Source organism: Homo sapiens, chromosome 6 (assembly GCF_000001405.40).
Source record: "Homo sapiens chromosome 6, GRCh38.p14 Primary Assembly".
In the NCBI taxonomy this organism is placed as follows: domain Eukaryota; kingdom Metazoa; phylum Chordata; class Mammalia; order Primates; family Hominidae; genus Homo; species Homo sapiens.
The window spans coordinates 28,159,552-28,172,152 of NC_000006.12; the positions used below are offsets into that span (position 1 = coordinate 28,159,552).

General features: G+C 41.3%; 1 pseudogene across 1 annotated transcript, besides 1 other annotated feature; it reads left to right on the plus strand.

Moving 5' to 3' along the window:
• Positions 2,210 to 10,044, plus strand: ZKSCAN8P1 (ZKSCAN8 pseudogene 1; annotated as a pseudogene). Its single transcript, NR_103448.1, has 5 exons — positions 2,210 to 2,270; positions 3,029 to 3,215; positions 5,198 to 5,350; positions 6,950 to 8,003; positions 9,851 to 10,044. The product of NR_103448.1 is annotated as a ZKSCAN8 pseudogene 1 (transcript).
• Positions 2,253 to 2,302: an enhancer, noted in NCBI's record as "active region_24347". NCBI's record gives its function as "activates an Ori minimal core promoter by ATAC-STARR-seq in GM12878 lymphoblastoid cells {active_cell/tissue: GM12878}" and the evidence as "EXISTENCE:reporter gene assay evidence [ECO:0000049][PMID:35858748]".
• Positions 10,045 to 12,601: the final 2,557 nt, after the last annotated feature.

Below are 12,601 nucleotides of genomic sequence, written 5' to 3' on the forward strand. Positions count from 1 at the left end.
ACCTATTTTCGTATGCTAGCATAGTATATCAGGATCTGCCTCTACCTAAGAGTAAGGCCAAAAAAAATTCATCTTTAGGAAATTATGTGTGAAAAGCTGAAGCTCTCCATTTGGTCAGCCTTATTGGTCCAGAAAGAAAATAAGCACTAAAGACTATTGTGTGAAGGTTATAATTCCAAAAGTGCTTGAGAATAGGCTTTTGTATATGAGATTAGTGGTTCTCTTTGGGAGAAATTTGGCAATGTTTGGGGACATTTTTGGTCATACCATTGGTGGGCAGCTGGGATGCTATTGGCATCTAGTAGGTAGAGGCTGGGGATGCTGCTAAGCATCATGTTTGCACAGGACAGCACCTCACCCCCCCGCATCGCCCCGCCCCTGCCCCTGTCCCCGCCCCACAACAAAGAATGATCTGGCCCAAAATCCTTAATGCTGAGGTTGTGAGACTTGATATATTTAAGGTAAATAGGAGAAAGAGATACGAAGTACTGGCAATACAATTAGAAAAATTAGCTATGCCAAGCCTTAAGAGAATCCTGTGTGTGTGCATATTTTGTGGTTTTTAAGACTATAAAAGAAAAAGAAGACTTAATGTTTGGCATTCACAGCAACATATGTCAGGGTGTTGATAAACAATAAAGTTGATGATGTTTTAAGGTTGCTTTCAGCATCAGATCTGCCATCATCCCTATGCCAAGTGTTTCAGCATACAAGTGTTACAGAAGTACAAGTCTAGTTTTAGTCTTCCATATCTTGGTTCATTATAGCATCAAAGGTAAAATACTGGGGGCTGTCTCTTTAACAGAGGGGCTATAACATCAAAGATTTAGCCTTAAGGACAACATATGACCCTCAGTCCCTTGGACAGCCTCTAGGCAGGAATTACCAGCATGCCAAGGAAACCACAAGCCAGAATATTGTCAGAGTTTGTCAAGTAAAACCATTCCAGTTTTATTTGTTTTTAACGTAGTTTTTAACATACTGTGTTAATCCTATTTAGGAAGGCAAATATGTAGGAGGAAATGTGATTTCCTAAATTAAATCGTTAAAAAGCAGGCCTTTAGAAGCACTAGCTTGCTTTTGCAGCAGGGGTACTTAATTCAGCAGGTTTAGAAAGGTTCAACCCCTGGGTGCAGTGGCTTATGCTTATAATCCCAGCACTTTGGTAGGCCAAGGCAGAAGGATTGCTTAAGGCCAGGAGTTCAAGAGCAGCCTGAGCAACAGCAAGACTGTCTCTACAAAAAAAACTTAAAAAATAAAAAAGTTAATCGGGTGTGGTGGGATGCATCTGTAGTCCCAGCTACTCAAAAGGATATGGTGGGAGGATCCCTTGAGCCCTTGCAGTGAGCTATGATTATGCCACTGGGCGACAGAGGTCTCAAAAGTTCAACCCAAGTTAGAAAATCAGTTTAAATGTGTAATATACCAAAGAAATAACTGCTTGCTCTGTCATATTTAAATATTCATAGTTTAGAATGCTAGGTTTAGTGTTCCAATCCATTATTCTGTAAATGGAGGCTCAAAGAGGCCACTTGGTTAGGTTTCCTGGGGCTTTGCCCATTTCTTTTCTCCCCTAGTTATGCCCTCAGGTGTGACCCTTGTATATTCTTAATTCATGCTCTGCCATAAGATGGATTCAAACTTTGTGCCTCCACCTGTAATGATTCATTTTAGGAATTACTCCTTTTATCATCTTTATATCCAAACCAGTATATTTACTGACTACAGTGCTTTGAGTTAAGTTCTTTCATAAATAATTGAATAGCCGGAGAAATTTTGCAGTATCGCAGTCATGTTTTGAAAATATTGTTCTTGGTTCTTGTCTCTAATCTTTGAGAAAGCACACAGGATATAGTGTGTTGGCTTTCAGATCACTAATAATTAAGACCAGAGTTCTGTGGCCCCGTGTGTCGCTTTAAGGGATCCTGTAGGGCCCACACGAGAAATTTCACCAACTGCACTATCTTTAAATTCCAACATACACGGGTGGTCCTGCCCTGGATAAAACTCAGGAAGCAAAATCAACCTTCGAGAGAGGTGAGGTAGGAAGTCTGAGCATTGCCGACGGGCCGGAGCAAATCGCTCCCGGGCTAGACCCTGCCTACACCGCGGCGGGGACAGGTGGAGGTTTCAACCCCTGTTTGGCAACCTCGGGCGCAGCCAGGCCCCGCCCAGAAATTTCCGGGACACGCCCCGGAAGTACTGAGAGGGACTTCCGCCCCGAGGCGAGGCCTCGGAGCTGGTTGCTGCTCACAGGCAGAGAAACGCTGGTATGCATTTGGGTGTCGCTTGGGTGGATGTTGCACAGCTGCAACCCCTCAGACCTCGTCTCTCCGCGCCTGCCTGGGTGGAATGTGTGCAGGAACTCCAGGAGAGGCAACCCATCCTGGGACGGTGGGGATTGTATCCAAATGCAGTCTTCCAGGAAAGGGTTTTTCCTCGAGATTTAGTGCCGCAGGTGCCCAGAGTTGGGACTACTTCCCTTTCAGTTACAACCCTGGTTTTTACTGCCGTCTTCAGAGCTTCATTGAGTGCCAACTACAAGTGTGCTTCTGGTACCAATTGGTATCACTGCCCACCAGATCTTCAGCTCTCTTTTTCAAACAAAAGGGGGAAAATGCAAATAATTGGAAATAAATGTTCGGTGCTCTAAATTCAGGAGAGGCTTCTTCCACCACTTAATTGTGCCCGTGACATTTCATTTCGAATGCAGAATTTATTTTCTCTCTACTTCAGCTTGGCAATAAATGGCTACCCTTCCCTTTAGCAGTCACTTCCATCCACGCCAGGACCACCTTACAGCAACCTTAATGCTGTTCTCTCATGAGCCCTTCCACTATCCCAAGCAGTGCTTAAAGGCAACGGGGAAGATTACCACTGCAGACCTGCTGCCCCAGCATGTGATCTGAGAGCCCTTTGCAAATTAGCTCCTTATTTAACATTGCACTTCTTTCCCCCCATAACCCTTAGTAGTATAACACCTATGGCAATCTTTGCTTTTTCTTTGAGTAAAATGTTTCTTTTACAGAAGTGTTCCTGAAAACTCGTCAATTACAGGAAAAGCTGCATGACTGCATCTTTAGAGGAGATGGTTTCGCTGGTTCCAAGGATTCTGTTAATGAGAAAACTCCACAGGCCAGCATTCTGTAAGCTGGCTCCAGCAGCCCAGTTGACAGTGGCTGAGGCCAGTTCCTGATCATCCTGAGGAACACCAGGTCTGGGAGAGGGAACAGCACTGGCCAGGGGAGGGAGGATTTTCCTTGGGCAAGTGGCTAAGCTGGATGATTTCAAGGAATTGAGTGAATCCAGACAGCAGGTGGGGAGAGAGATTACCATCTTACAACTTTTGATCTCTTAGGGATTCTTCCCTTTTTTTCCCCTACTTTTTAAGCACGTAAGTCAGAAGCCACACTACCTGTGATTTTGGCCAAGTCATTTTATCTTTCTGTGCCTATATGTCATCTGTCAATGGGGATAATAAAAGCACCTGTCTAGAGTTGTTATGAGGATTACATGAACAGTACCTGCTACATAGGAAGTGCTATCCAGGTATTTGTTGTAATTATTTCTTACTTTGCTTACCTCCCTGGAATTAGCCTGTTCTGCTGATTTATTCATTTCCACAGCGATTCTTTGATAAATTCATGTGTTTAATTTTTTTCTGGCCCCAGCTGTTGGATACAGTCAGGAAATAGGCAAGAAATGCCAGCTCCGGAAGCAGAGGGAGAATAAGATAGTTATTCTCTAGTGCCACCCAGGAATATGCCACTGAAGTGTTAATGACAGACTCTTCCCTCTACAGGAGAGTTGTGCTAAACTTTGATGTTTTGTGGTCTTCTGGGGATTCTGGAAGTAAGGGACCTGAGGTGACTTAACAACAACTGCTGTATGACAGGATCAGGATAAGTGAGTTGTGAATGCTTAGCAGAGTCTGATTAAGTTCAGAGTGAAGCTGGAGCAGGAGAGAATCCAGCTCTGACCTGCCGTTTACACTTTTTTTTATCGTTCAGGAACTTCATCTTGGCTGCCAGTTTTCAGAAATAGAAATTGTAAATATATTTCCATTTTTTTGTCTTTGACTGCTTAAAGTGCTTTTGTTTGTTTGTTTTACCTCACAGGAGTTTTTATTCTATGTGGGTCAAGTTTACCAATCTTTTCATTAATGATCTCTGGATATTGGCTTATAAGGAGGAGGACTTTTCTTTTTTGAGATGGAGTCTCGCTCTGTCACCCAGGCTGGAGTGCAGTGGTGCGATCTCTGCTCACTGCAACCTCCGCCTCCCGGGTTCAAGCGATTCTCCTGCCTCAGCCTTCTGAGTAGCTGGGATTACAGGCACGCACCACCACACCTGGCTAATTTTTGTATTTTTGGTAGAGACGGGGTTTCACCATGTTGGTCAGGCTGGTCTCAAACTCCTGACCTCATGATCCACCCACCTTGGCCTCCCAAAGTTCTGGGATTACAGCCGTGAGCGACCGCGCCCGGCCAGGAGGAGGGCCTTTCTATTCTGAGGTTATAAAGGACTCACCTCATGTTTTCCTCTGGTACTTTTATGGTTTTATTTATAACATGTAAAACTGGTTTATTTGGAATATATCCTAGTTTATAGAGTAAGGTAGAAATCTAATTTACCATCTTTCCAGATGGTTATCCAGTTCTCACCATGCATTTGAAGAGTTCACTTTTTTTTTTTTTTTTAACTCATTTGCTACCTTTATCATATGCTAAATTTATGTGTCTATTTCTGGGCCTTCTGTTCTGTACCATTATCATGAGTACTACACACTTTAAGTATTAAGGCTTTATAATAAGTAAGTTCTTTAGGACAAGTGCCCTTCTTCCTCAGTTTCCCCAGGTAGTCCTGCATGTTTAGTCTTCTAGGTGAACATTAAAATCTTCTAAAAAGTTTCTATTTTCATGAGAATAGTGTTGAATTTACAAATTAATTTGGAGATTACTGGCTGAATACTACCCTGAGAAGCTGTAAAGTGGCTTAATCTGGGAAGCAAGCCCTAGATTGAAATTTCATCTTGGCTGTTTTAACAGGTGCCTGACCTCGGAAAATTTATTTGCTTCTCAGTTTTTATATATATGAGAGGAGGACTTTAACGTCTGCCCTGTAGGATTAAATGAGATAAAAAGCATAAAATGCCTTCTTGGGAGTAAGCAATCCTTTCTTCACATGGTCCATTCTAGTCAACTCACAAATCCCTGAGAGGGAAGCCTCCAGGATCCTAGAGTAGATGACCAGATGCCCAGGCGCAGGATCCACGGAAGTCAAAGTCAAGCTTTCTAGGCCGACAGCTGTCCTCAGTCGCTTGGTCAGATAGTCTAATCTCAGTTTTTCAGGTGAGTTCCCTCTTGACTTTCTTCTAGAGTTTTGCGTGTGCCCTGGAGTGGACACCCTCGGAGGATGGGAGAAACTGTGTACTGCGCCAGGTCGCCTCAGGCCTGCCTTTTCCCTCCATCCTTTCCCACCCCTCCCCTCTTCCACCCACTTTCTCACACTCCTCCTCTTTTCTCTTTCCTCCCTTTTCCTCCCTCTTCATCATCCTCCCTCTTATTTTTCTTTCCCTTCACTACCCCATCTCCTGCCTGGCCCTTCTGCACTGGCAGAGTAGACCCTCAGAAACCCTGGGAGGGAGGATGGCTGGGACAGGCTGATGTCTTGAGTCCTGTCCTTGGCTGTCTCTGAGGCTCTTAAGACTCCTAATTACAGGAGTGACTCCGACTTGCTTTTCTGACAGGGCTAAATTTCCGAGAGTGGGGTGCAGGAATGGAGACCTTATTTTCTCTTGGTCCTGGATCCTCAGTTCTGCTTTGTGTTGGTTTTTGTTGTTGATATTGTTGTTTGTTCATTTTGTAGAATATCGTTCAATTGGGATTTAACTGTTTTTGTCATTATTATACTGAGGTTATATGTTCTGGGGAGGAAGACCACAGAGGTGAAGTGCCATTCTCATTATATCAAGGGTACACACTGTTAACTTATAACTGTCAAGACATAAAACAATTTGTAAGGTGGAAAAAGGCAGAGAGGGGTAATTAGTGTAATTTGAGTTGGGAGCAAAAATTTTATCAAGTTTAGACACAAAACTGGGTTTGTTCCCAAGAAAGTAGCAGCCATCCCTTTTCTTAGGAGAGGTGAGGGGTTTATTCTGTCACAGTTCCAGCAGAGACAAAGGATCCTTGTTGCTGAGATACTGTTTATCATAGCAACAACAGCTGCAGAAATAGTAGTGGCATAGCAATGAACAGAGCTTTTTTGGTCCCCGTGTCTCTCTTCCATCTCAAATAGTATGGACTTCTGTGGGCAGTAAAACATACCTGTTAATGGTGTTATTGTCATTTTTCCAAACTTCTTATCAGTTGAATTTGTTTCTGTTGCCATTTCTATTCCCATACTCCTTCATCTGCTCTATCTGCAAATCTCTTGCGTTTCTGTCTTGTTTTCCAATTTAATTAAATATGATTCGCATTTAAAAGTAGGAACTATATATTATTTTTATATTCATTTATATTCCGGATTGTATATGTATGTTTTAGATGACTTTATAGAGGATATTTTATTTATTCATTTATATTTTTTGAGACAGGATCTTGCTCTGTTGCCCAGGTTGGAGTGCAGTGGCATGATCATAGCTCACTGCAGCTTCAATCTCCCAGACTCAAGTGATCCTTCTGCCTTTGCCTCCCAAGTAGCTGGGATGATAGGCGTGTGCCATGAAGATATATTTAAATAGCCGTTTGAGTCAGATATTCATTCCAACAGTTATTTGATGTTATTGAGACATGATACAGGCTGAGTGAAAACATTTTATGTGAGTGCCATATGATTGGTTTGTCCTGGGATTACTGAATGTGTTTGAGAGCTCTAGTCTGTATCATATTATATTGCTTTAGCAACAGGGAATAAAGCACATTTCAAAGATCTGTTTATTATTTTAGGAATCAAGGCCAGAGGTGTGAACAAGGTGTCAGCTCTGAAGGGAAGGTTTTTCTAAGGATGGACCCACACCAGAAGGTCCCTAGCATATATAATGGGGATACTTTACAAACTCCTGAGTATGAAAAAGTCTCTCAGTATGAGGACCAGTTAGAAAGGCATGAGGGTAGGCACATGGAAGAAAGACGGTATAAATGCAATGAATGTGGAAAGAAGTTTGCCCAGAGCTCAGGCCTTGTTCGACATCAGAGAATCCACACTGGAGAGAAACCCTATGAGTGTGATCACTATGGAAAAGCCTTTAGCGTGCGCTCAACCCTCACTGTGCATGAAAGAATCCACACTGGTGAGAAGCCTTATACTTGTAATGAGTGTAAGAAAGCCTTCAGTGTAAGGGCACACCTGATTATACATCAGAGAATCCACAATGGAGAGAAACCCTATGAATGTAATGAGTGTGGCAAAGCATTTAGTGTGAGCTCAGACCTTATCAAACATCAGAGAATCCATACTGGTGAGAAACCTTATGAGTGTGATGAGTGTGGAAAAGCTTTCAGTGTGAGCTCAGCCCTCATCAAGCATCAGAGAATCCATACAGGAGAAAAGCCGTATGAGTATAAGGAATGTGGGAAGGCCTTCTATGTGAACTCAGCACTTATTAATCACCAGAGGATTCACTCTGGAGAAAAGCCCTATGAGTGTGGAGAGTGTGGAAAAGCATTCAGCCAGATCTCAACGCTTATTCATCACCAGAGAATCCATACTGGAGAGAAACCGTATGAGTGTGAAGAGTGTGGGAAAGCTTTCCATGGGAGTTCTAACCTTACTAAACACCAGAAAACACATGCCAAAGGAAAGTGTCATCAGTGATTTATGTGGCAAATATATTCCAAAGGGCTTTTGTTACATCGGAAGATACCATTGAAAGAAGAGTATGGTTAAAGTTAATGCCTTAATTGACACTTCACCCTTGAAATACTGAAGTGAGAAGTCACTCAAAAGTAACTCCATCAGCATTGTTTCTAAGGCTCTAAAATCACATCTACTTCTGAGAAGGTAATTTTGCAACTCATAAGGTAAAGCCATTTAAAAACCATATAGTATATAATGTAGTTTGTGTTGGCTTAGAGCAAACTAGCAATTCAAACATTTTCCTCTTATGAGCAAGACTTTTGTTGTTGTTTTCTTGCTGTTGGTGTTATAGATAAAACATTAGATTTGAAATTGGAAGCAATTGGTGAGAGAGGAAGGACATATCCTTAGTTGAATCTGGAAAATACCAACCCTTTTATCTTTCTTTGCCTTTGATGTACTGCTATGCTCTTAGGATGATTAGATGTGTGTGCGACTTCTTGGCAGAAGTTAGAGCATATCTTTAGGTAGGAATCCCAATAGATAATTTTTCAGGGTGATTCTTGCATAGTCAAAAAGCCTTAAACCTTTTGACTTACTGACTCAATAAGCCTTTGAGTTTGACTGAGGTTCCTCAACCAATGCAAACAAAACAAAGACAAAAACTTCCCAAGGAGATTTAAGTGTTTCTGACTTCTGATCCTTGCTCATAGCTGCATAGGTCACTGCTGTGTGTGGTGTCATATATGCAAAAGCTCAGAGATATAATAATGGGACACTTGGGGAATTTTCGAGGTCAGTGTTGGTTTTAGGATGACTATGTGAAGCTTGATACCTAATGTCAACCAAGAGTGCTCAGATTTGAGAGGTGAGTTTGATTTTGAAAATGTTTTTGCTGTGTCTATGGGACTCCCACTAGAGCTGTCCACCAGACCATAATCTAACTTCCTAACACTAATCCCCAAAGCCTGTATTTGCACATGTGAAACTCAGGAGAGAAATCTGGACTTTAAAATTACTTTGTTACTATTTTTCTTTTCCTCTTTTTTTCCTTTTGAAACAGGGTCTTGCTCTATCACCCAGGCTGAAGTGCAGTAGTGTGATCCCACCTCACTGCTGCCTCAGCTTCCTGGGCTCAAGTGATCCTCCCATCTCAGCCTCCCAAATAGCTGGTTTTACAGGTGTGCACCACTATGCCTGCTAATTTCTTATTTTTTGTAGAGACAAGGTCTTACTATGTTATCCAGGCTGGTCTCCATTTCCCCTGCTCAAGCGATCCTCCCGCCTTATCCTACCTAAGTGCTGGAATTATAGGCATGAGCCACCGGGTTAGGCTATTTTTCTATTTTAACAATGATTTCTCCCTCCTGAGTAATAGTCCTGAAATTTTTTATTCCTGAAATTTAATTCATGTTAGGTTCAAGATGTGCCAAATCGATAGAAATTGCAGATAGCTTTGGTGGTTCACATTTGGAATAGATTATAGAGAACACTCTCTGGGAAGGTGAAATGGTGTTCACTTCTCAGAAAGAGGCTCTGTGTTGCAAAGGGATGCACAGTTTCCGTGAATTATCCTAATCAGCACTTCAGGCAAGTCAGCTGTAAAACACACTGGACTTCATGAAGCTCTGAGCCAACTTGTGGCCAGTAGGCACTAAGGTCAGAGACACATATGGAAAAGCACATGATGAAGCCTCTGGTATTGGAGTAGTGCCTACAGCCCTGCCCAAGGCCTGGATATGGGGATTGAAGGCAAAGAAGATCATGGTTCTGGAGCTCACGTTGAGGAAATGGACCTCACTCAGGGAATGGGGCACATTAGAGAAGGTAAAACACATACTGTACTTACAGCAGAAGTGAAGGGCTTCAGGAAGTTCTCTTTGCTTTGCTGAGTTCATTTGTGAATTCTTTTGCACTGCTTCTTCCTGTCTTTGGCAATTGAAGGAGACTAGGTTTTCCTTGATTTGACCTGTCACCCCATTTCTGTGCTGTTACCTTCAATGTTTTTAGTGTTTACCTTTCTAACCCCAGCTATCTTGGTTTGTTTCTAGAATGGAGATTTACAGACAGTCATCTGGGTGGAGGACACCCTTTTGGGATCAGCACTGAAAGTGACGCCATATCCCACTCCAAACCAGCACAACTATAAATACTAAGCAGTGAGTGGTATTCTGAAGACTTTGAAGGAGGAGCTATTTCTGAAAATAAATTTATTTTGTTGAAGAATTTAACCATTAAGCGATCAGGATATGTGTACTGTGGTTATTACTTTTGAGCTCAAAGTAAGGTATTAGTGATTATTTGTTTTAGGTTGGGTCTTGTGCCGGGTGCTAGGAATACAAAAATAAGTGAAAAAAGCACCCTAATCTCGAGGCTCGCAGACTATTTGGTGACAGGGAGAAGAGAGTAGATAGAAAACAACAAATACTGTGATAAAGCCGCTGGATTTGTAGAGTACTTTGCATTGAAGAGGGTTTAACAATGACTCACGAAAACAATTGAAAAGGCTTTGGAGGAGGACGAAAGCTTGGAGGAAAAGAATGAGTTCTTGAGCCACATGATACAGAAGAATGAGGGAAGGTACAGTGAGAATAGCATGTGAAAAAGCACAGTGCATCTGGGGGTAAAGAAGGAAGTTTTCACGGACCTTGATTATATTTCAAGAATCATAGAATATGCATGTGAAAGTAGTATATTATGACCAGACCAGACATTCTTTGTTCTACTAAGAAGTATGAAACATATTCTTTAGGCCAGTGTTTCTTCAAACATTTTGTGCAGTAAGAAACCCATTTTATGTTGTAACTCGGTGTACCATTTTTGGGAGAGACCATCCTCCTTGGCCTTGCACTCCTACATGTCTTGCTGGGTGTGCCAACATTGCAAGGGCATGGCAGCTCTTACTCAGGCCACTTTTTATTGTCATGGAGCTAGTAACCTTGAAAGATGAGGTGACATCTCTTGGACTAAGAGTAGGTTAGCTTGCTTGCTTACTTATTACTGTTTGGTATTCTTTTGGAAAGTTCCTGTTCAATTTTTTTACATGTTTATAGGAATTATTTACATATTCTGGATATGAGCTCTTTTCATAGAGGATGCAAATATTATCTCCATCTTTATAGCTTGCCTTTTATTCTCTTAATGATGTCTTTTGATGAATATACATTTTTAATTTTAATATAGTCCTATTTATCAATCTTTTTCTTTCATGTGTTTCTTGTTTTGTGTCTTTTGAATAATTCTTTCTCTCCCTTAAGATCATGAAGATAATCTCTACCATTTTAAAAAGTTTTCTAATTTGCTTTATCATTTATATCTGTAATCCATTTGAAATTTATTTTTCTGCCTGAGTGAGGTAAAGTCTAATTTCATTCTTTTCCATATGGATATTCTTTTCATCCTTCATCACTTATGGGAATGCCTGTCATTTCCCACTGTTCTACAGTGCCAATTTGTCATTAATTAATTTTCCAAAAATGCATGGATCTGTTTCTAGTTTCTCTGTTATGTTCCATTGCTTTATTTGGCTCTCCCTTCATCAATACCAGATTTTCCTAATTATCGTAGCTTTACATTGTTCTGGTATCCAGTGGAGCAAATCATCCTACTTGAAGAGTCAGACTCCATGCCAAATTTCTATGTGTCATTTTTCAGGCCCAACCATAGGCAGTTACAAAGGCCGTACACCTCATGAAGGAAAGCTACCCTCCCCATGCCAGACTTGGGGCACAGCCAATGCATTGCAGTCTCTGAAGAAAGTTGCAGTCAAGGACCCAGACCCCCGGCCCAGCCATGCTCTTAGGCATATCTGCATTCCTAGTCCAAGCACCTCTGTTTAGAGGTCTCTTTATTGGTGGCCTCCTCTAAACAATTCTGAGACCATTTTACTGGGATCAGGAACCTTGATGCCACTTGTCTTCACTTTCAGTATTTAGTACTTTTCCACTCCTAGCACTTTTCCCTCTTTCCCCTCCCAGCCCTTAGGCCCATAAAATGGCTGGAGCCTTTTATTTAGGTTTCTCATAGTAGCGAGATGATCCCCATATCTTTGCTGATTGTTTTGACACTTGTTTGACTCTGTTCCATGGGTAAGAATGTAACACTGCAGGAGCCAGCAGTTTTTCCTGCTGAGCCTCTTGCTAATGCTACTGCTGATCTAAGGCTTGACTGATACCTTATCATTTTGGCATGTTTTAACTGACCACCACGACACCTGGCAGCTCAGTTCTTTCTGCATCAGCTTAGTTCTTAACACCACCTTCTTCTCCTACTTCATAAGTGTCTTGGCTGTTCCTGGTTCTTTGCATTTACATATAAATTTTAGGATCAGCTGTCAAATTTGACCCACTCCCTTCTAAAAAATTATTGGGATTTTGATTGAGAGTGTATTGAATCTATAGATTATTGGGGAGAATCAACATTCTTACATGAATTTTCTAATTCATGAACATGGTATAGCATTCCATTTCTTTAGGGTCTTAATTTTTCCCAATAATATTTTATGGTTTTCTGTGTCGGTCTTGATCATCTTTATTAGATTTATTTCTAGACATCTGACATTTCTTCCATGTAATTGTTAGTAGTGTCATTTTTAAAAATTTACTTTCTGTTTACAGAGACTTAGCATTGATTTTTATATATTGACTTTGTAGCCAGCATTCTAATAACATATAGATATTTTAGGTCTTTACATATACCATTCGCAAATGATGACAGTTGTATTTCTTCCTTTCAAATCTTTATACTTTTTTTCCCTCTTATTACATTAGTATGACATCTACTACCATGATAAAAAGAAGTGG